Source organism: Homo sapiens, chromosome 5, assembly GCF_000001405.40.
Source record: "Homo sapiens chromosome 5, GRCh38.p14 Primary Assembly".
Lineage (NCBI taxonomy): Eukaryota > Metazoa > Chordata > Mammalia > Primates > Hominidae > Homo > Homo sapiens.
In genome coordinates, this window is record NC_000005.10 from 82,838,948 (window position 1) to 82,863,735 (window position 24,788).

The 24,788-nt window shown below is 40.3% G+C and overlaps 1 long non-coding RNA gene and 1 other non-coding gene across 2 annotated transcripts, besides 1 other annotated feature; one reads left to right on the forward strand and one right to left on the reverse strand.

Moving 5' to 3' along the window:
• Positions 1 to 1,207: 1,207 nt before the first annotated feature.
• Positions 1,208 to 1,277, forward strand: MIR3977 (microRNA 3977). Its single transcript, NR_039773.1, has one exon. It is a non-coding gene; the product is annotated as a microRNA 3977 (primary transcript).
• Positions 10,911 to 11,438: an enhancer, noted in NCBI's record as "NANOG hESC enhancer chr5:82145677-82146204 (GRCh37/hg19 assembly coordinates)". NCBI's record gives its function as "activates a minimal SCP1, AML or CMV promoter by ChIP-STARR-seq in naive H9 embryonic stem cells {active_cell/tissue: H9 hESC(naive)}" and the evidence as "EXISTENCE:reporter gene assay evidence [ECO:0000049][PMID:30033119]".
• Positions 11,917 to 20,889, reverse strand: LINC01338 (long intergenic non-protein coding RNA 1338). Its single transcript, NR_105016.1, has 4 exons — positions 20,797 to 20,889; positions 15,818 to 15,965; positions 13,064 to 13,151; positions 11,917 to 12,219 (listed from the first exon to the last, which is right to left on the reverse strand). It is a non-coding gene; the product is annotated as a long intergenic non-protein coding RNA 1338 (long non-coding RNA).
• Positions 20,890 to 24,788: the final 3,899 nt, after the last annotated feature.

The following is a 24,788-nucleotide window of genomic DNA, read 5'->3' on the forward strand; positions in this document are numbered from 1 at the left end:
AAAGATGTTACATTTAAAAGGCACATGCAACAGAATAGGCCCTTTCCAAGAAACAATAGCGTTTAAGTGCTGGCACAATTACCAGCAGGTTTTCTATGTTAAATATATATTCTGAAAATAGAAAGGACATTTCATACAACTTTTTCTTTAACCAAACAATCAAGAAGCAAGTGGTACAGCTCTCAGACCTTCAGATGACAATTACTGAACTCAGGGAAGAGAAATGTTTCTTCCCCTGGGACCTCTAAAATTACTGGTAACATGACTATGGAAAATGTGTCAAATAAACCAAAGCACCAACTTCAGAGACGGAAAGTCATTGGCTTTCCTGTGAAAATATCAAATATTTCACAGTTACTTGGCCAAATGTATGCTCACATTAGGTCAACAGAACATATTGTAATATTTTTCATTTATCCTGCTCTGCATGTATTATTAACATATTACAAATAAAATGAAAGTGATAGGTAGGAGAGAGTGCAGACTAGATGTCTTTATGGTCTAATTCGTTTTGATGAAGGCAGTTGCTATAAGGCACTTTCCCATTCAGGGGTTTAAGTCTTCCAGCCTTGGGCATAAGGAGCAGAAGAAATCCTTGGTGTAGAAATAAATGAAATAAAGAAAACAGGACTAAGGAGATGCTCTACCAAGTGGGGGATTCTAAGAGCCAAATTTTCTTCAATTTGTTTACTCATTCGTAAAAGGAATTCACACATCAATTATTGATTGAAACCCTTTAATGTGCCAGACACATGGAGGGGGACATGTTGCAGGGAGAGCAGGAGGGAAGTGGATGAGGCCTTTGCTCTTAGGAAGCTTCCAATCTAGGAGAGAAGACTTCTATTAAACAATAATTAAACAAAGCGCCACATCACTATTTGGATAGAGAATGGGTATTGAAGGGAGATGAACAGAAACTCAACTGGGGCTATAGATATCTACGTTAATGTCTTCAACCTCTTCCTTTCCTCAGATTGCTATATGCCTCCATGCTTTTGATTCTCTCTCTTCCTTTCCCTCTCTTCCAGTGTTCCACTGATTTTAGCAACAATTAAAAAAAAATCAAAAAAAAAAAAACAAGGAGTGGGGCAAGCCTTGGGTTGTGTGCCAGAAGCTGAAGAAACTCCTTAGCTCAGCATAGAATCAAATGCTAGCTTCTGTGGCAGCCAAAGTGAATCTATCAGACTAATGACATTCACAGTCTACATTGTGCTTCATCGTAATTAACCTTAAGTGGTTCGGGTAAATCACTTTAATTTGTTATGTGTTGGCAGAATCAAACTACTTTTTTTGCTTCTTCTTTGCCTTTTAGTTTAATCTTGTTTATCATCAACATCATAGCTTATGCTAGGAAATTATCAGTGGAAGCCCCTGTTTTCTACTATCTGAAATTCCTTCCACAATGGAAAGAAAGGGGAGTGGTGTCTTGCATCTCAACATGATAGCTGGCATGAATGAGAGTGAAGAGCCTCTTTCCAAGCAGTTTTTGTGTTTTTAATTTCACATTCTTTTACTTGAAGAGGGCCCCCAAATCTTGGATCCACCCTTAAATGATATTAAGACTAAAAAAGTATATAACCCATAAGAATAAAAAATGTTGACTAAAATAGATTGATATCATATCAGTGGGACATCAGAATAAAAGACATATTTGTGTGTGAGACAGAATAATAAAGGGAAGAAAAGGGCATAGAAATAAACATAGCTGGGCTGAGCGCAGTGGCTCATGTCTATAATCTCAACCATTTGGAGGGCTGAGAGAGGAGGATCCCTTGAGCTCAGAAGTTTGAGACTAGCCTGGGCAACATGTTGAGACCCCATAGCTACAAAATTTTTTTTAAAAAATTAGCCTGTAGTGCCAGCTACTCAAGAGGCTGAGGAAAGAGGATCACTTGAGCCAGGAGGTTGAGGCTGCAGCGAGCTGTGATCACACCACTGCACTCCACCCTGTATACAGAGCAAGACTCTGTCTCAAAATAAATAAGTAACTGGTTTATTCTACCTTTGGTTGGGATGGAGCATTCTTCAAACATTCAATGAATATTTACTGTGCACTCCTATGTGCCAGGCACAGTTCCAGAAAAATGAGATACATCAGGAAACAAAACAATCAATAATGCCTACCTTGTGGAGCTTACATTCTAACAAGGGAAGATAGACAATAAACACTAAGCATATTAAGTAAGCATATATTGCATTAGAAGGTGATAAGCATAATGGGAGGATTGGGAGTTTGGGGTAAGGACATAGAAGATTTGAAAAACACAATCAACCAACAAGATAGATGCCATACTCTGTATATGAATACTCCACGCAATAATAGCAGCAGTCACATTTTTTTCTTGCACCCATAGAATTTCAAGATAAACAATATCCTGGAAAATAAAATGAACTTAGATAATTAAAAAGAGAAGGAAGACATTTGGCTTTTACTGAGAATGAACTGAGGCTCATTGTAGGGTGTTGAACAAAAGGGACCTTGTAAGGCTGTTCTGGCTATTGCATTTCCTCTTGTTGGGGAAGAGAGGCACAAAGCTAGAGGCTAAGAGAACAGTTAGGAGGCTGTTGCCACCACCTGAGTGAGAGATGGTGGTGGTTTGGGGTCAAGGTCTTAGCTTTGAAGGCAAAAAAGAGTAGCCTGATTGTGCTAACTTCAGGGAAGTATAATACAAAATTGTTTTAATATTGCTATCATTTGAAATAATAGGGGGAATAGTAACACACCGCATCTCAGAATAGAAGCACTATTATGTCTTTTTAAAAATTTTTTAATTTAATTTTATTTATTTATTTTTTATTGTACTTTAAGTTCTAGGGTACATATGCACAATGTGCAGGTTTGATACATAGGTATACGTGTGCCATGTTGGTTTGCTGCACCCATTAACTCATCATTTACATTAGGTATTTCTCCTAATACTATCCCTCCCCCAGCCCCCCACCTTATTACAGGCCCCAGTGTGTGATGCTCCCCACACTTGTCCAAGTGTTCTCATTGTTCAATTCCCACCTATAAGTAAGAACATGCAGTGTTTGGTTTTCTGTCCTTGTGACAGTTTGCTCAGAATGATGGTTTCCAGCTGCATCCATGACCTGCAAAGGACATTAACTCATCCTTTTTTATGGCTGCATAGTATTCCATGGTGTATATGTGCCACATTTTCTTAATCTAGTCTATCATTGATGGACATTTGGGTTGGTTCCAAGTGTTTGCTATTGTGAATAGTGCCACAATAAACATACCTGTGCATGTGTCTTTATAGTAGCATGATTTAGAATCCTTTGGGTATATACCCAGTAGTAATGGGATTGCTTGGTCAAATGGTATTTCTCATTCTAGATCCTTGAGGAATCACCACACTGTCTTCCACAATGGTTGAACTAATTTACACTCCCACCAGCAGTGTAAAAGCGTTCCTTTTTCTCCACATCCTCTCCAGCATCTGTTGTTTCCTGACTTTTTACTTACCGCCATTCTAACTGCTGTGAAATGGTATCTCATTGTGGTTTTAATATGCATTTCTCTGATGACCAGTGATGATGAGGACTTTTTCTTGTGTCTATTGGCTGCATACATGTCTTCTTTTGAGAAGTGACTGTTCATATCCTTTGCCCACTTTTTGATGGGGTTGTTTGATGTTTTTCTTATGAATTTGTTTGAGTTATTTGTAGATTCTGGATATTAGCACTTTGTCAGATGGGTAGATTGCAAAAATTTTCTCCCATTCTGTAGGTTGCCTGTTCACTCTGATGGTAGTTTCTTCTGCTGTGCAGAAGCTCCTTAGTTCAATTAGATCCCATTTGTCTATTTTGACTTTTGTTGCCATTGCTTTTTGTGTTTTAGTCATGAAGTCCTTGCCCATTCCTATGTCCTGAATGGTATTGCCTGGGTTTTCTTCTAGGGTTTTTATGGTTTTAGGTCTAACATTTAAGTCTTTAATCCATCTTAAATTAATTTTTTTATAAGGTGTAAGGAAGGGATCCAGTTTCAGCTTTCTACATATGGCTAGCCAGTTTTCCCAGCGCCATTTATTAAATAGGGAATCGTTTCCCCATTGCTCATTTTTGTCAGGTTTTTCAAAGATCAGATGGTTGTAGATGTGTGGTGTTATTTCTGAGGCCTCTGTTCTATTCCAATGGTCTATACCTCTGTTTTGGTACCAGTACCATGCTGTCTTGGTTACTGTAGCCTTGTAGTATAGTTTGAAGTCAGGTAGCATGATGCCTCCAGCCTCTTGGCAATGCGGGCTCTTTTTTGGTTCCATATGAACTTTAAAGTAGTTTTTTCCAATTCTGTAAAGAAAGTCATTGGTAGTTTGATGGGGATGGCATCGAATCTATAAATTACCTTGGGCAGTATGGCCATTTTCATGATATTGATTCTTCCTATCCATAAGCGTGGAATGTTCTTCCATGTCTTTGTGTCCTCCTTTATTTTGTAGAGCAGTAGTTTGTAGTTCTCCTTGAAGAGGTCCTTCACATCCCTTGTAAGTTGGATTCCTAGGTATTGTATTCTCTTTGTAGCAATTGTGAATGTGAGTTCACTCATGATTTGGCTCTCTGTTTGTCTGTTATTGGTGTATAGGAATGTTTGTGATTTTTGCACATTGATTTTGTATCCTGAGACTTTGCTTAAGTTGCTTATCAGCTTTAGGAGATTTTGGGCTGAGATGATGGGGCTTTCTTTTCTTTCTTGCTTTCTTGCTTTTTTTTTTTTTTTTTTTGAGATGGAGTCTCACTCTGTTGCCCAGGCTGGAGTGCAGTGGCATGATCTTGGCTCACTGCAAGCTCTGCCTCCTGGGTTCATGCCATTCTCCTGCCTCAGCCTCCTGAGTAGCTGGGACTACAGGCACCTGCCACCACGTCCAGCTAATTTTTTTTTTTTTTTTTTTTTGTATTTTTAGTAGAGATGGAGTTTCACCATGTTAGCCAGGATGGTCTTGATCTCCTGAACTTGTGATCCACCCGCCTCAGCCCCCTAAAGTGCTGGGATTACAAGTGTGAGTCCCCACACCTGGCCAGATGATTGGGTTTTCTAAATATACAATCATGTCATCTGCAAACAGGGACAATTCGACTTCCTCTTTTCCTAATTGAATACCCTTTATTTCCTTCTCCTGCCTGATTGCCCTGGCCAGAACTTCCAACACTATGTTGAATAGGAGTGGTGAGAGAGGGCATCCCTCTCTTGTGCCGGTTTTCAAAGGGAATGCTTCCAGTTTTTGCCAATTCAGTATGATATTGGCTGTGGGTTTGTTATAAATTGCTCTTATTATTTTGAGATAGGTCCCATCTATACCTAGTTTATTGAGAGTTTTTAGCATGAAGGGCTGTTGAATCTTGTCAAAGGCCTTTTCTGCATCTATTGAGATAATCATGTGTTTTTTTGTCATTGGTTCTGTTTATGTGATGGATTACATTTATTGATTTGCATATGTTGAACCAGCCTTTCATCCCAGGGATGAAGCCACCTTGATTGTGTTGATAAGCTTTTTGATGTGCTGCTGGATTCAGTTTGCCAGTATTTTATTGAGGATTTTTGCATCAATGTTCATCAGGGATATTGGTCTAAAATTCTCTTTTTTTGTTGTGTCTGTGCCAGGCTTTGGTATCAGGATGATGCTGGCCTCATAAAATGAGTTAGGGAGGATTCCCTCTTTTTCTATTGATTGGAATAGTTTCAGAAGGAATGGTACCAGCTCCTCTTTGTACCTCTGGTAGAATTCAGCTGTCAATCCATCTGGTCCTGGAATTTTTTTGGTTGGTAGGCTATTAATTATTGCCTCAATTTCAGAGCCTGTTATTGGTCTATTCAGAGATTCAACTTCTTCCTGGTTTAGTCTTGAGAGGGTGTATGTGTCCAGGAATTTATCCATTTCTTCTAGATTTTCTAGTTTATTTGCATTTATAGTGTTCTCTGATGGTAGTTTGTATTTCTGTGTGATCAGTGGTGATATCCCCTTTATCATTTTTTATTGTGTCTGTTTGATTCTTCTTTCTTCTTTATTATTCTGGCTAGCTGCCTATCAATTTTGTTATCTTTTCAAAGAACAAGCTTCTGGATTTGTTGATTTTTTGAAGGGGTTTTTGTGTCTCTATCTCCTTCAGTTCTGCTCTGATCTTAGTTATTTCTTGCCTTCTGCTAGCTTTTAAATTTGTTTGCTCTTGCTTCTCTAGTTCTCTTAATTGTGATGCTAGAGTGTCAATTTTAGATCTTTCCTGCTTTCTCTTGTGGGCATTTAGTGCTATAAATTTCCCTCTACACACTGCTTTAAATGTGTCCCAGATATTCTGGTACCTTTTGTCTTTGTTCTCATTGGTTTCAAAGAACATCTTTATTTCTGCCTTCATTTCATTATTTACCCAGTAGTCATTCAGGAGCGGGTGGTTCAGTTTCCATGTAGTTGTGCAGTTTTGAGTGAGTTTCTTAATCCTGAGTTCTAATTTGATTGCACTGTGGTCTGAGAGACAGTTTGTTATGATATCTGTTCTTTTACATTTGCTGAGGAGTGCTTTATTTCCAAATATGTGGTCAATTGTGGAATAAGTGCAATGTGGTGCTGAGAAGAACATATATTCTGCTGATTTGGGGTGGAGAGTTCTGTATATGTCTATTAGATCTGCTTGGTGCAGAGCTGAGTTCAATTCCTGGATATCCTTGTTAACCTTCTGTCTCGTTGATCTGTCTAATTTTGACAGTGGGGTGTTAAAGTCTCCCATTATTATTGTGTGGGAGTCTAAGTCTCTTTGTAGGTCTCTAAGGACTTGCTTTATGAATCTGGGTGCTCCTGTATTGGGTGCATATATATTTAGGATAGTCAGCTCTTCTTGTTGAATTGATCCCTTTACCATTATGTAATGGCCTTCTTTGTCTCTTTTGATCTTTGTTGGTTTAAAGCCTGTTTTATCAGAGACTAGGATTGCAACTCCTGCTTTTTTTGCTTTCTATTTGCTTGGTAGATCTTCTTCCATCCCTTTATTTTGAGCCAGTGTGTGTCTCTGCACGTGAGATGGGTCTCCTGAATACAGCACACTGATGGGTGTTGACTCTTTATCCAATTTGCCATTCTGAGTCTTTTAATTGGGGCATTTAGCCCATTTGCATTTAAGGTTAATATTGTTATGTGTGAATTTGATCCTGTCGTTATGATGTTAGCTGGTTATTTTGCCCATTAGTTGATGCAGTTTCTTCCTAGCATCGATGGTCTTTACAATTTGGCATGTTTTTGCAGTGGCTGGTACTGGCTGTTCCTTTCCATGTTTAGTGCTTCCTTCAGGAGCTCTTGTAAGGTAGGCCTGGTGGTGACAAAATCTCTGAGCATTTGCTTGTCTGTAAAGTATTTTATTTCTCCTTCACTTATGAAGCTTAGTTTGGCTGGATATGAAATTCTAGGTTGAAAATTCTTTTCTTTAAGAATGTTGAATATTGGCCCCCCCTCTCTTCTGGCTTGTAGAGTTTCTGCCAAGAGATCCGCTGTTAGTCTGATGGGCTTCCCTTTGTGGGTAATCCGACCTTTCTCTCTGGCTGCCCTTAGCATTTTTTCCTTCATTTCAACCTTGGTGAATCTGACAATTATGTGTCTTGGGTTTGCTCTTCTCAAGGAGTATCTTTGTGGTGTTCTCTGTATTTCCTGAATTTGAATGTTGGCCTGCCTTGCTAGGTTGGGGAGGTTCTCCTGGATAATACCCTGAAGAGTGTTTTTCAACTTGGTTCCATTCTCCCCATCACTTTCAGTACACCCATCAAATGTAGATTTGGTCTTTTTTATAGTCTCATATTTCTTAGAGGCTTTGTTCATTTCTTTTTACTCTTTTTTCTCTAAACTTCTGTTCTTGCTTTATTTCATTCATTTGATCTTCAATCACTGATACCCTTTCTTCTACTTGATTGAATCAGCTACTGAAGCTTGTGCATGCATCACATAGTTCTTGTGCACAGTTTTCAGCTCCATCAGGTCATTTAAGGTCTTCTCTATACTGCTTATTCTAGTTAGCCATTCGTCTAATCTTCCTAAGCTTCCTTGTGATGGGTTTGAACATTCTCCTTCAGCTTGGAAAAGTTTGTTATTACCAACCTTCTGAAGCCTACTTCAGTCAACTCATCAAAGTCATTCTTTGTCCAGCTTTGTCCTGTTGCTGGTGAGGAGCTGTGATCCTTTGGAGGAGAAGAGGCATTCTGGTTTTCGGAATTTTCAGCTTTTCTAAAAAGCTCTGGTTTCTCCCCATCTTTGTGGTTTTATCTACCTTTGGTCTTTGATGTTGGTGATCTACAGATGGGCTTTTGATGTGGATGTCCTTTTTGTTGATGTTGATGCTATTCCTTTCTGTTTGTTACTTTTCCTTCTAACAGGTCCCTCAGCTGCAGGTCTCTTGGAGTTTGCTGGGGGTCCACTCCAGACGCTGTTTGCCTGGATATCACCAGTAGAGGCTGCAGAACAGCAAAAATTGCTGCCTGATCCTTCCTCTGGAAGCTTTGTCCCAGAGGGCACCTGCGTGAATGAGGTGTCAGTCAGCCCCTATTGGGAGGTGTCTCCCAGTTAGGCTACACAGAGGTCAGGGACCCACTTGAGGAGGCAGTCTGTCTGTTCTCAGAGCTCAAATGCCATGCTGGAACAACCACTGTTCTCTTCAGAGCTGTCAGACAGGGATGTTTAAGTCTGCAGAAGTTTCTGCTACCTTTTGTTTAGCTATGACCTGCCCCCAGAGAAGGAGTCAACAGGCAGCAGGCCTTACTGAGCTGTGGTGGGCTCCACCCAGTTCGAGCTTCCCTGGCTGCTTTACTTACTCAAGCCTCAGCAATGGCCGACGCCCCTCTACCGCCAGACTATTGCCTCACAGGTTGATCTCAGACTGCTGAGCTAGCAGTGAGCAAGGCCCTGTGGGTAAGGGACCCACTGAGCCAGGCATGGGATATAATCTCCTGGTGTACTGTTTGTTAAGACCATTGGAAAAGCGCAATATTTAGGTGGAAATGTCTGGTTTTTCCAGTACAGTTTGTCATGGCTTCCCTTGGCTAGGAAAGGGAAATCCTCTGTCCCTTTGCACTTCCTGGATGAGGCGATGCCCTGGCCTGCTTCAACTCGACCTCCATGGGCTGTACCACTGTTCAACCAGTCCCAGTGAGATGAACCAGGTACCTCACTTGGAAATGCAGAAATCACCTGTCTTCTGCATCCATCATGCTGGGAGCTGCAGACTGGAGCTGTTCCTATTCAGCCACCCGAGAAGCTTATGGCTTACATGACACAACTTGAGTTATCTTTCCCAAATGAAAATTAATAAGGGTTGCACCTCAAGATGTTAGTAAAAGGTCATTGCTTTATATTTAATTTTTCTAAATTCAATTATTGTGTCTTGGCAAAAACAGACAAAAGGAGGAGTTGGTCAAAGAGGAGGAAACAAATCACTTAAATTGGGTCACAATTCTGGCCTGCCATTTCACTAAATGACCATGAGATGAAAAGGAAGTTTGTTCTTCTCAGATCAGGCTTAGTTCTTGGTGCCTCTCAACATGAAGTTGTTTCAAAATGTGGCCTTTTGGTGTGATATGTTCCCTACAGGCAAACCTGCTATACTACTTAATGTTCAATCCGAGAAACCAACAATTTGTTTTAACATTGAAGGAAAAATTGACAGTGCTAGACATATTGAGAGGTGGGCTGTGGGTCTCCAAAAATGTTGCTTCCTAAGGACTTTCAAGAACCAGTTATGTTTAAATTCATTTTCCTTACTGATTGTCAAATCTAATCACTAAGTAGCAATGTAAGTCCCTTGTATTGAGATATAATACCATTAATATTGTATGCCAGGTGCTAGTATGTTCATTTATTCAATACTCATAATAAGTCTATACTTATATTTATATATCCATACTATCCTATGAACTTTTCATTTTAATTATGAAGGAACTGAGGAACACAGAGATTTGACAACTTGTCAGCATCATACATTTGGTAAGAGTAGAGCTTGGGTTTCAAACCCAGACAGTCTGGCTCTGAAGTCTGAACTTATTTAAGACTAGGATATAATTTTATGAATAAATATTGACTTAGTTTTTTAAACATTTTATTTATTTATATGGGTGCCAGGGCATAGGGATTGAGCGGAGGGGGTGCTCAGGGAAGGGGCTAAATATTGACTTTAGCAACCCAAAAATGGTTACTTACTTCCAAGCAAAAGAAAAATTCCTTCCCATCTTCTACCATTCAGTATGAAGACACTGAATTCACTATGTAGCCAGAAAGGTAATAAAATGTTTGAAGATTGAAAAAAAAAAAAAAAAGATATAGAATGGACAGATCCCTGCTGCTGAGAAAAATGAAAAGCTCTTAAAGGCCATAGACAAAGCTTCATTGACCTCCGCAGGGGCCCAGAGGTAACCCTACTCCTTTCTGGGAATTAATGGTCTGCTTATTCTTCATTCTCCATGTCCTTCCCCACCTAGATTGTGAACATCTCAATGGGTAGAACTCTGCTGTCTTAATCATACTAGAATCTAAAGTGTTTAGTACAGTGCCTGGTGCATAATAAATGCTTTCAAATGTGTTGAATGAAATACTAAATGAATGAAAAAGATAATAAAATTGTGATTCATATGGTGACTGGATTTTTGTTCTTCTTTATCTCTCTCTAATAGACAAACAGGCAACCATACATTATTCAGTAACCTTGAGGCTGATGCTTTTCACTCTTACAAGCCTCAGGTAATTATGCTGTCCTGAAAACACCCATTAAGGACCTTATGCAGAATCCTCAGATGTTTATCTCCAGGGGCCGTAAGTGACCTAAAGCAATTTTTGGAAGCAGTGATAGTGCCATTAAAACTAGTAGAAAGTGGTCACTCTCTTTTCTGCATGTGGTAAGCTTACTGTCTTTATTGTCACCTTCATAATAAGAGAAAATATTTTATTTTATTATTATTTTTTTTTTTCTGAAGAGTGTGGATAATGAATTGGTGAGGGAGAGGCTAAATCCTTTGCTGACTTCTAATGATGAGCAAAAAAGACAATTCAAGTTCAAGGGTGTTTTCTCTGAGACAGAGTTTTTCACCTCAGGGCAATCTTTGCTTCTTTGTGAAACCAAACCTGCTAATTGGTATCCTCCTCTGACAATGCCCACATTGGGTCCCTGGAGCCCAATAAGTATCTAGGGCCCCCAGCTATCTAGCAATCATGGGAACAAGAGGGGAATAAATTATCATTAAAGACTCATTGTTCTCCACAGCTGGGAGTTTGGGCTTTTAAAAACATCAAAATGTGCTAGGTCATTTAATAATTTACTTCCTGAAGTACATTCTAATTCTAATTGAAATGTATGTTTTACTTAGCACTAGGTGGGAAACATAGAACCACACTCTTGAAGGTATCTCTTTGAGAGCCACTTGCTTTATTGAAAAGCTTTGCCTTCAGCTTTGTAACTTTGTATTACAGTTCATATAGTCTTTATAAAGATAACTATTCCTGTAAATCTGGCATAGGCTTAGTTTTTTTTCTCTAGGCTTTGCTCACAGAATTCAGACGCCTGACTCTGGAACAGAAAGTGAACATGCGTGCTTTGCAGATGATTCTGACTTAAACATATGGCTATTATGTTGTACATTTTAAAAAGTATATTTAATGCAGTGAATTCAACTGCTTTCCATATGGTTTGATTTTGTTTTTCCCCCCCTTCCAACTCCATGCAGGTTAGTTCTTCCCCTACTACTTCACAGCCTTGTGGGGGTGTGTTCATCAGTGTCAGAGCATGACAACATGTCAGCTTGCACATTGTATATAGCTGGCACTCTTTTAGCTGGAAGCAACACAAGCTAGCTTAAACAATTGAGACAATTATTATCTCACTAAATAGAAAGTTCAGAGTCAGGGCAAACTCCAAGTTTAATCAGCAGCCCAGTATTGTCACCAAACCCCTAGGATTTTTCTCTCCATCCTGCTCATTTCAATGTCAGTTTCATCCAAAGTCTGGTTCTCCTCATAAATCCCAAGAAAGCTCATGGGTTGATCAGACCTTTATTCTTTCTTGTTCTTGCCAGCAGGAGAGAGAAAGATGATCTTTGCCAACAGGAAAGATCTTTGCTGTCAGCCTAGTTGGGCCATCATAGGCCTCACACCAATCATAGTTGTCAGGGGAATGTAAAATGGGTTTGACCGTCGATGTCCAATATAGTGGCCATTAGCCATACTGAGCCCTTGAAATATGGCTAGTCCAAAATGACATGCACTGTAAGTGAAAAAGATACACTGGATTTTAAAGACGTAATATGAAAAAAATGTAATATAGCTCATTAATAATTTCTATACTGATTATATTGACAATGTATTTCAGATATATTAGATTAAATAAAATACATTATTAAAATTAATTTACCTGTTTCTTTTTACTTTTTTAAAAATGTGACTGCTAGAAAACTTTAAATTACTTATATGGCTTCCTATATTTCTATTGGATGGTGCTAGCTAACTAATCAAGATTCCCTCTGAAGTGGGGGTGAGGTACACACTCGAATGAAATTTAAGGTTTTCTTAGAAAAAGGAAAGCAAGAATCAATGTGAAGTAAGCAGCCACATGGTCTACTTCGTCTGGAGGACCATTTTTTAAATTGCTTTCTGTTGTTTTTATTCTAATTTCTAATTGGTGACTGGAGGATATAAGAAAATCAGTAGTAACATGTGGGTTTCGTTGGGGACCAGGCCAGTTTTTTCTAAGCATTCCAAACTATGTACTATGTGGGAGTTTTGAGACAGCAGAGATGTCATATACTATTCTTGATTGCCAAGTAAGTTAACTGGGAACAACGCTGGATTGAGCTCACAGGCCTGAATCCTTTTCCATTGCTTAGTCTTAAACAATTTTATTTTGTTTCATGTTCAGCACTTATTCTGTTATTAAAGCAATATGTAACAGTGGCACCAAATGTATAAAAATGATTAATACACTGTGGGGCACAGGAGACCTTTCCTGGTGTCAGTTGCTTGTTGCTTTCTACTCTACACCATTTCTCTTTTTTTTCCTTCTTGTTTCTTGCCTTACACTCATAGGCAGAAGGACTCCTTTTCACACTTACCTTATTGTAGGTAACCTCTGTCTGTTTCACAGCTAATTGTGCAACGAAGAACAAGGATTTGGTAGAGTTGGTAGAATAATCGGGAAGCCTGTAGACATTAGTGAAGAAAAATCAGCGTGAATTCTTAACAAATTATAAGTTACTGTCAAGATGGCCAATTGTAAAGCCAAGACTCTTCCTTGAGAAAAGTCTCTTATCATCAAAGGTGTGTATGCAGGGCAGGACGATATTCTACTTTAGGTTCAACTCACCCCAGGGCTGGTATTCTCCTTGCACACAGCAGCACAGCCTAAACCAGGAGCTGCACTATTGAAATACTTCTACAGCAGTTACTAAATAGCCACTGCCCAAAACCTCCACATTCCTTTCTTACCACCCTGGCTTTTCTGGCCTCTCCCCCTGAAATCTGGCAGGGAAGATGCAGACAGGACCTCCAGGGTCCTCTTGGCGCTGAAGGGACCTCCAGGACTCTGCCGTACTTTTAAACAATGCTTCAACTGCCCAACATTTAAACCTGCCTTAAACTAGTGATCAGTTTCCATCTTAGCAAAGAGACAAAGGAAAACAAAATATCTGGAATGAAAACTAAGAAGGCGAAGGGCCGGGCACAGTGGCTCATGCCTGTAATCCCAGCACTTTGGGAAGCTGAGGGGGGATCACGAGGTCAGGAGTTTGAGACCAGCCTGCCCAACATAGTGAAACCCCGTCCCTACTAAAAATACAAAAATTAGCCAAGCGTGGTGTCAGTCACCTGTAGTCCCAGCTACTGGGAAGGCTCAGGCAGGAGAATCGCTTGAACCCGGGAGGTGGAGGTTGTAGTGAGCTGAGATAGCGCCATTGCACTCCAGCCTGGGCAACAAGAGCAAAACTCCGTCTCACAAAAAAAAAAAAAGAAAGAAAGAAAGAAAAGAAAAGGAAAGAAAACTAAGAAGGCAACTTAATGTTTTCTTTGATGATTTCTAATAAAAAACAAAATCATTGTAATTTTTTATTCATACACTCCATTTAAAGACTTCTCTTGAAGAGTCATAGTGGAGCGGAAAGAAAACTGTAGCACTTTGTGATACGATAACTAGATTCCAGTTTTATCCTGACACTGGCCACCTGTGTGAACTTGGTAAGTTTCTTCATTTCTGCAAGCCTCACTTCCTCATGAGTAAAAAGCAATAATGCCAGTTCCCACTTCACAGAGTTATGAAGGTAAAAATCAAATAAAATATGAAAGCAACCAGCCCTGTTCTTGGCACATCACCAATGCTTGATAAGCTCTGGTCGAATTAGAATTTGAGAAGCTGGAGAACAACTGCATGAAAAGATTTTTTGTAACTTTGTATTGAAGTAAGACATACAGGCAGAAAAATTTAAATTATTGTATTTAGTGTAATAAATTCCTGTAGAGAGAACACATGTAACCAGCACCCCCATCAGGAAATTAAACGTTATCCATACCCCAGGAGTCCCCTCCTGCCTCCTTCCAATCACCCATCTCTAAGGAACTTTTCATACCAGACTGATTGTTTTAATGTGGGAACAGAATATTGCACATGCCCTGATGGGCTTGAGTGCTTAAAAACAAACAAAAAAGGTTCAGGTGAGTTGTTCTCCAGGCTGAATGGAGAACCTGCGATAGATTATGTAGAGGCGCGTTAAAGACAAGCACAAAATCTCTCACTCACTCATACACTTGCACAGTCATACACTGCAAATGTGTAAGGACTTCCTTTTCTGTGAACAATGCCAGGTTAGGGATTGTGGCATTTGCAAACATGCTCCCTGTTCTCCAGGATTTTTTTTTTTGAGAAGAAGTCTCACTCTGTCACCCAGGCTGGAGTGCACTAGAGTGATCTCAGTTCACTGCAACCTCCACCTCCCAGGTTCAAGCAATTGTCCTGCCCTAGTCTCCCAAGTAGCTGAGATTACAGGTGCATGCCACTGCACTAGGCTAATTTTTGTATTTTTAATAGAGATGAGGTTTTACCATGTTGTACAGGCTGGTCTTGAACTCCTGACCTCAGGTGATCTGCCCACCTTGGCCTCCCAAAGTGCTGCAATTACAGGCATGAGCCACTACGCCTGGCCAGGATTTTTACCAAAGGAGCAGCATAAGCAAAATGGGAAACCACTGTCTAGGGATCAGCAAGCCTGGTTTCTCCTATTCTGCTAGTGAACTGAAGCCTAGGGTTGGGGTAGACCAGTGAAGGCATGAATGCCAGGCAAAGGATGTCTGCAGGCAGTATGGAGCCACTGGATGCTTTTGAGTGTGGGGTGACAAGGCAAAAATATTTTTATTGTGGAGGACGGATCTGGGAAAAGAGAGACTAGCCACAGAAAGTCAATGAGGAGGCTCTGCAAAACAGTCTAAGCCAATGAAGCCTCAGAATCACCTAGAGAGGTTTAAGCCACAGATTGCTGGGACCCTTCCCCAGGGTTGCTGCTTTAGAGGGTCTAGTTAATCTGAGAATTTACATTTTAAGTTTCCAGGTAATACACTTTGAGAATCACAGTTCTGAGCCAAAAGTTCTCAACACTCACAATACATTAGACTCACCTAGAGAGTGTTTTACAAACACCCATGCCCACGTCTCACCTCCAAAAAAAGACTAGGATTTAATTATTCTGGGGTAAAGCCTGGGCATTAACATTTTCTAAGAGTGATTCTATCGCGTTGCCAATTTTGAGAACTACTTATCTAGACAGGGATTCTGGAATGTGGCTCCTTATCAGAATTACCCAGAGAGCATGATAAATAGATACCTGGGCACCACCCCAGATAAAGGACATGTAGGGTGGAGTCCTGGCATTCCTATGCTTGATCTTCACAGACTGGTCACTCTGATGCAGATGGTTCTCACACTGGCTTTTGGGAACTGCTGGTCTGGAAAGGCAGATGAGGACGCAAACCCTAAAAACAAAGTATGAGGAATGGCAATAAATGAGAGCTCCTAGGATTTTCTGACTTCTTAGATGGGCAGATCTTGGAATGGAATTGAAGCCCAGAAGGTGGGAAATCTACATACGGGTCACAAGAAAGCCTTGTGTGGCTGTCAAGGTCTCACAAAGAGCCACCACTTGAATCAGTTATCTTCCTGCCAACAGCCTGACACATCCAGATGCCTCATCTTATCAAACCCTGACAATTAGTGGGTGCTAATTCATGCTGACTAAGCCCTAGGAGGTTCAAGTCTCTAACACAGCATAGCAACTGTTAATTTTCACTGAGAATCAATAACAACCAAGGTAGCCAAACACTTGTATTCTTCCCACGGGTAGATCACACAGAAAGCCAAATTGTCATCAGAAAGTTACTGGTAGAGATGGAATCAGAGCGGAGAGGAGTTAATTGCATGATTCAAATGTTTAGGGGCATCAGGCTGTGATAGCTGGGTGCCTCCTCTACAAGTGAATATTGGGAGGAGTCTGAAAAGACACAGCCTCTAATGGACAGTTCCTAATGGCCACAGCCAGTATTTGCCCCAGTGACTCGGCTGGATTTGTGCTCCACCATCCACAAGCTAATTAATTCATTAAGTCTTTAGATATATGAATATTCTCAATCAAATGAGTCTCATCTTGCTCACCCGTGAGTCCCTATGTTTCTTAGGGCGATTTTGCATATCTCTCATCTGAACAATGATGTAGTTTATAGTTTAGTTCTCAGAGGACAATTCCATTTTCCTTAATACTACACTTCTGGAGTGGTAGTATTAGGGAAAAATACTGTCGCCACATACAGTTCAATTTCACTCTTTTAGCAACAATTAGTCTTATTTTATGTGGCAGAATTAGAGGCTAATATTTTAATTATTTTTATGTTTTTTCAAAGCATAATATACTGTCATGAATAAAAGAGACCTAGTTAACCCTGAGCATATGAGGCCTTTATGCTCAGATCATGAGGCCACAATACCTGGGTCACTTCTCACCTACTAAGAACTTCCTCGAAAAGCAGGCAGGCAACTGTAGTTAGAAAACAAAGAATTAAGTTCTGCAAGTGTGCCTGGCAACCTAAACCTGCAAAATGATGGCAAACGTCCCAACCATATTTTAGCTTTACAGTTATGTTGATGATGAAACAGGCTCTTTGTGAGAGCCAAAAGCAGAACAAAGCATTTTTATCATGCTTGATAAAGATAACGAGAGAAATAAATCCAAACCATAGCATTTAGTTGGCTTCTTGAGGAGAGAGAAGGAGTGGGAGTGATGAGATGTGGACTCCCCAAGTGCCCATTTGTTGCTTAGTGACATGAGGAGCAGCTCTTTACCAGGAGGGGGAAGAAGACGCAGGTGGGGAATCCTTGAATCTGCTTTCTATAGAAGCAGACAGGATGTGTCTTCTCCGACCCCTTGATACTCTTCTATTTATGTCAGGCCTTCTGGGTGACTGTGCTCAGATTCTTATTTAAATCCAATTAAATCTGGGACTTGAGTAAACACAGATGTATATCATGCAGAAGATAGTAGTAAAGGATTCTGCATATAGGCCAGAGCAGCTGTATCTTTTCTGCTATTTAAGGTTTGGGTTTTTTCTTAGTATCTTGGAAAGAAAAAGTGGCAGTAAATATTGGCGGTTTTAATTTTATACAAAACCAGAGTGTCTCCTTTTTCTGGCCTTTTCTCTTGGCCTAGGCCAGATTGACTTTATTATAACAATCTGATCGGGCCCCTCTCCTTCCTGTGGCGACCCACTATCCACAGAAAAAAGTTCATTCCCAGGGGGACCTCAGACTCCCTTCATGACGGGTTCCCCCTTGGCTACATAGCCTAACATCCTGCCACGTCTCTCCATCCAATGCAGACTTTTGGGGTGTCCCCACTTCAGAGCTCTTTCACCTCTGCACACTTTATCTTGCCTGAAAGTGAGAATTACAGAGTCTGGAGCAAAACTGCCACCCATTATGGCTCTGCGCCTTCATTAGTGGTGTGACCTTAGGCAAAGTACTTAATCTCTCAGTGCCTCAGTTTTCTCTTGTCCAGTAAAAGAATGGTAGTGGCTAACTAGGCTCACAAGGTTGTTGGCCTTAAATGCATTAATGTGTAAAATATGCAGAGCAGTGCCTGGCACATAGGAAATAGTTAATATTTTTAACTTCTACATATCCCACAAGACTAAGCCTAAACATCATTTTCTGTGGGAAGTCTTACCTGAAAAAGCCTCCCCTCCCCTGTCTAGGAGAGTTGATTTGTTTAATTTTTCCATTTTGTCTGCATCTCCTATTACTGCATTTATGTCCCTCAACTACCAATCCACATCCTCTTATCCCCACATCCATTATCATCATGTATGTATGTGTGTACCTGATCCTCAAGTAGCATGTGGGCTCTGTAAGGGATGGTCCTCTATCTTAATTGGCCTATACTTTCCAGTGGGTAGTATAATAACCCCTACATTGTAGCTGTTTAGTGAGTGTCCAACAAAAGCATATGCAAGCATGTTCCTGAGGAATAGGATTACACGTGCACTGTCTCAGTACTGAACTGTTTCTAGAAAGAAGGTGCTGTGGTTTGGATGTGTCCCCTCCAAATCTCATGTTGGACTGTGATTCCCAGTGTTGGAAGTGGGGCCTGGTGAGAGGTGTCTGGATCATGGGGATGAATCCATCATGAATGGTTTACCACTATCCCCTTGGTGACAAACGAGTTCTTGCTCAGTTAGTTCACGTGAGATCTGGTTGTTTAAAAATCGGAGACCCCCTCCACAACCCTCCCTTTAAAGTCATCCTGTGCACTTTACCTTTATTAATTCATTTAACCCTAACAACAACTCTATAAGGTAAGTGCTTTATTACCCTTATTTTACAGACGAGGAAGCTGAGGCAAAGTGACAAAGTAGGGTTTGAACTCAGTCTTGCTCCAGAAATTATGCAGAGTCAGTTAAGACTAAGTTCTTCCATGCTGGGTCCCCCCAGAAGTCATCTGACTTCCCATCTTAAATGGTTTTTAATGGTTGTTTTATTTTCTTTTTATTGTCATCTTTGGCAGAGAAATTGACTCTGGCTTATTCAGTCTTCTTAACAGAAGACCTACTGATTTTGAGATGTTAGACCGATTAGAGAGGAAAATAACAGCAACACAAAAAGGGGAATAAGAAAATAAACCTCTGAAGAATTTGATGTTTGAGTCTAGTGTTGTATGTAAAAGCACTTTGCAAGTTGCAAGGCAGTGGTTTTCAAACGATGATGTATTCAAACTATGATGTATTCCAGAACAACCAGGAGAGCTTGTTAAAAATGCCGACTTCCCAGTATCACCCTCAGAGATTCTGATTGCAAGAATCTGGGGCCTTGCCCAGGAATCTGCCTTGTTAACAAGCTCCCAGGTGACCTTGATGCAGGTGGTCCAAGGTGCTCACCTTGGAAACACTGCTGTACATATGGGGCTTAGAAACGAGAGCTAGCAAATCCCAGAAGAATACTTGCCTGTACGATAATTCAAACCACCTGAGTGGTAGCTTATTAGTGCTTTTCTGGTTCCCCGGTAACTCACTAGCTTTCGGCCAAGGAACTTGATTGAGAGGGTATTGATGGGGAGGAAGGGGAGGAAAAGAAAGGAATAGGGCCAATTAAAACCACCTTCCCACTGAGGTGATTGTTTCTCTGTGGACAATGAAGGAGCTGTGGAGCACCTTCTTCCTTCAGTGTCTCCCTAATTGGCTGTTGTGACTATCATTCTGCCCTGAGGGAGGTTAATAGAAACAAGAGAGAGAAGAAAAGGATGCCAAGTAACTTAGAGCAGGAACAAAAAAGGAGCTGGAACTCATTTCCACCAGGACAGAGAGAAGCCCTGATTGGTCTCTTTCCCTAAGGTCCTCTTTCACACATCTCTACGACCTTTCCCCTCCTTTTTTCTTTTCTCCCTCAGAGGGACCAATAAACATGGGTTGTCTGGACAAGCAGTGCTTTATTAATGATCCAGGGAAAATTCCGATGACCCAGAATTCTGCCATAAAGTGATATCGTGTTATTGCAAAGTGATAGTGTTCTTAACCTCCTTGCTGAACCACATTTTTTTTTTTTGAGATGAACAACAGCCAGAGGCTCTTTTATTCTGAGCATCTTTCCAAGAGAACAGTTGAGTTATTTGGATTTTCATACTGGACCGTTACATGGCATGTATTAACAGTGTGTGCTATAAACAACTTACCTTTCGCTGAACTAAGTAATTTAAAGTAATTTTAACAACATAGTTTGGCATCGTGATTAAGATTTCCTGGCTTCAATCCTAGCTCTGCAAATCACTAACTGTGTGTCCTCGAAGGTGACTTTACATCTCTAAGCTGCAGGTTCCAATCTGTAAAATTGAGATAATAATAGGACCTCCCTCCCAACATACACACACACAAACACACACATACAACAGCGAATTGTTATGACCACCAAATGAGACAGTACATGTAAAATACAGTGCCTCACCCACAGTAAGCCCACAATAATGGTGGCCTCCATTGTTTTTTATTTTTCTGAATTATTATTTGATATTTCTAACATAATAATTGCTGAATTGCTGGACAAAAAAAAAACCTAGAAAAAAAGGAACTTTTTAAAAAGTGTCTCCTCTCTATTAGCATTGAACTTCAAATGCTCATAGCACACTGTAAGCAGAGCAACAGATGGATTCCATCCAACGGGAAGGACACACAACTTAGGAAGCAAACAGACATAGGAGAGCAAGATAAATCACTTAGTTGCTTACCACACACATTGTGAGATACCGAATGTGGATTAGAAGTTTCTTACCAATAGTTGGGCCTCCGTTTCTTGAATGGTTTTATATTTCCGGACTGCAAACAAATGATTATATGTGTGAAAAAAATATGGAATAGGCAGGAGGACAAATTCAAGTGAACCAGAATACCAGGGGCTCTGGTGTTCTCTTGGAGCTCTCTGCACCGGGTAAATCCTTTGAGTGTAGGCTTGCTGACAGCCGTCTCATTCACACGCAGGTTCCTCCCGGGTATAGCTCTGAGAGCAACAGCCCCCAGTCAGTGCAGGGTTACTAAGCAACTATACTCCCACTGAGGTATGCAATAAGAGAAAGTCTTGATTTTAAAAACAAAAGAAAACCAAAACACCATAGTAAGCAGAGCTAATAATACAACCTGCTCTTCTCCTTTGAGTATGTTAACCCTCAAGCTAGTTTACCTTTACCAGCATATCACAACCTCATGGAAATCAAATTAGAAAGCATGCTGCAGTTGTATAAAGTAACTTCAAGCAATGTTTTAAATTACTGCTAATACATTTCATGTTAAAATGGCACCTTATATAGTGAACCCTTTTGTGTGTATCATCTCTCAACAGGGCACCTTAATGGAGGGCGATTGTCATTTGAATAATGGTTTTAGCAACTAAGTCAATGTTTAGTTTTGGACTTAATTTTTTATTGTTTTTGTATTATCTAAGTTATACATTCTTATGACATAAATTATTATTTTTGAAGTAGCTAATACAAAGATAATGACAAGGAATCGTTGACTGGATCTTTAGAGTTTAAGGATTCCAAATAGTTCTGTACATGTTTACATGTTCCCTACATATCCCCTTAGGAGGACACAGAGAAACACTTCCTTGTTCTGATTCTTACTTTGATTAACATTTGTTAAGCACTCAATTTGTGCAGAGAACTATGTGAGACACTGGAGTTGAAGAGGGAGAAGGAAGAAGATGTACAAGGAGACAATACAAGGTCCAACCATGCAAAGAAGTGTTGTATAGTTTTAATGAAGGAGATAAAATTGTACACAGATACTACAAGAGGCAATGAAAGGAGGAATTAAGATATTCTGAATGATGTAATAATTATAGAAATCACTAGCTTCAAATTGCCAAATCAGAACATTACAGTTCTAATCTACTGGGATAGGGCAGGAGAGCAGTACAGAGGGAATGTTAAAGAATTAGAGCTCTGGCCGGGCGCGGTGGCTCACGCCTGTAATCCCAGCACTTTGGGAGGCCGAGGCGGGCGGATCACGAGGTCGGGAGATCGAGACCATCCCGGCTAAAACGGTGAAACCCCGTCTCTACTAAAAATACAAAAAATTAGCCGGGCGTAGTGGCGGGCGCCTGTAGTCCCAGCTACTTGGGAGGCTGAGGCAGGAGAATGGCGTGAACCCGGGAGGCGGAGCTTGCAGTGAGCCGAGATCCCGCCACTGCACTCCAGCCTGGGCGACAGAGCGAGACTCCGTCTCAAAAAAAAAAAAAAAAAAAAAGAATTAGAGCTCTCAAATAGAAATGAAAGTGGGTATGACAGCATTCTATACATTCCAGCCTTTTCAACATCATGGTGTATGTGCATAGACAGATAAATAGATAGGTAGACATAATTTTATTTTTACAATGCCTCGAGGTGTAAAGGATTTGTGTCAGAGGAAAACAAGTCACCAGCGACCTAGGCCTTGTCCAGCTGCTTCCAAGGTTAACAGGACTGGTGCCTCTGAGGCCCACCATACCCACTGGGAAGCTCTGCATATTTGAGACATGCTCCTTACATGGATTTTCCCACTAGAGAGTCAGAATCTCAAATATAATATGAAGGAATGTTGGCCCAACATAGTTGACCATGGTACATGTGATGTGGCATGGTTAGCAAGGCGATATGAGCCGGGATGGAACTCCAGCCTGTACACTCACTAGCTTCCATCACCTTGGCAAGTTAGCTCACTTCTCTAAGCTTCATGAAAATGTCACTAATAAACTGGGATGCCCTGCTGAGCCATGTCGGAGCCTGAAACAAAACGAAGACTGCGTGTTCCTATATACGTTATCAAAATAGCCCCCTTTATTGTGAATCAAATGGGAATAGTTAACTGGAGCTTTTCAGGGACAAATCATGACTTCTGTTTAAAGCTCTGCATTGCCCAATCTGTTTGCATGACATTATCAACCCTAATAAACTGGCTGGTGGGGCATGCTGCTGATTGGAAATGACTGTTCCTGTTGCACAATAACACAGAGTTGTAGAACAAAACAGCCTGTTTTTATTTAAAATTATGGTGTTTATGCTTTGTGAAAGCTTGGCATTAATTTTTTTTTAATATTTCATTAAAATATTATTTACATTGAGTGCTGGGTTTTTTTGGTTCCCCATTAAATGTTGCTTGCCCCTGTGGTGAATGCCTCACTTTCTTCACCCTAATTGGGGTTCCAAAAAATGTACTTTGAAGGACCACTATAACTACAAATAAAGACTATAAAATATCTTTATAAAATCTGTACTTAAAAATAATAGTCATTGCTATATGATTTTATAATACCTAACAGATTCCTTAGCTATTAGTGAATGTGTTTTCTGAGAGTCCCTGAAAAAGCAGTGTGAAAGAGAACAATACGCAGTTTATTCAACATGCTGAAAAGATACACAGTGAGTTCTGAAATCTGCCTCCGCTCCTGTCACCAAGGAAATGCTGATGACCCTTAACCAGAATATACAAGGGAAAGGTGCTGGCCCAGCTGGGATTTCTCTTCTTCCAAGTTCTGGGAACTCTCTTGTGTATCCAAGACAATCTGCTCTCTGATGTCCCCTCTGTCGCTTTAGACTCCCAACAATTATACTCAGATAGCTTTTAGTCTTTGCTTGTACCAAAAATGCTCGAAGTACTGAGTTTACCAATAGATTTCCATAAAAAATTCTGATTCCCTCCTTTAGGTTCAGCAAGATGCTAAAGGACAGCTTGACTAATTGTACCATCATTCCTTCTGTCTTCCTCATAGGTAACTCTTCTTTCTGGGCCAAAATTGATTCTCTGTGGACAGACATGAGGATTTTAAATTCCTTCTTTGGCAGGAAGAATAACTGCCTGACAGAAGGGTGACCCAATGTGTTTCCCTGTTAGCAGGTTCGCAGTGGTGGCTTCTTTCCTCAGCATCAGCAGCAGCAGCAGCAGCTGGAAAGCATTCCTATTGAACCACTTCACGTCCAATACCGGGAGAGCTACAGAAAATAAACTAACATGAAACATCATCTGCCTTTGCCTCTGAGAATGGTACCCCAGGGCAATTTGATGGCAAGCACAATAAAGGCACCAATGTGCAGTTGCATTAAACAAATACTGAAAAATTAGCACATTGACTATTTCTAATTATCTCCATTTATTCTGTAACGTGGTGTCTAGAGGAAATGGTTCTGTGGTAATTCTGCAAGATGTTGCTTTCAGCCTAGGAAGACAAATAAACAGGTACTACTTTAGCTTTTCCTTCTCTTGGTTGTTCACAGAGTGAAAAAAAAAAAAAACCCAACTTGTTTAAAAATTGAAAAAATATTACCCATCAAAAGAGAAAGTGCTTACAAAAGGAAAGACTTGACAAAATGTAATATGTAGACACAGCACCAGGCTTTTCACTTCTGATGAATTTGCAGCCTAAATACTAAAATATGCTGTTTCCCATTTCACCTTGTTTCCACAGAGACCAGGGCTGACAAAGAGCCCGTCACCAACAGTTACCGCCCTTTGTCTGCCCTGGATGCTGAAGGCTGCATGAGCAGAGAATGAGCAAATGTGGGATAAATGTAAGCTGCTGATTTCATTCACACTTGGAACCTTATCTCTTTCATATTTCAGTCGCTAAGGAGTTCTCAAATTTGCCTCAAACTGACTCATTTTACACTCTGGCTTTTCTTCCATCTACCTTTTCTTCTTTGTGTGTAATAAAAATAACACAATAACATATGGAAAGATAGAGAGCAAAAAGTTAAGAATCACTGATAATTTTCCAAACGAATTTTAAATAAT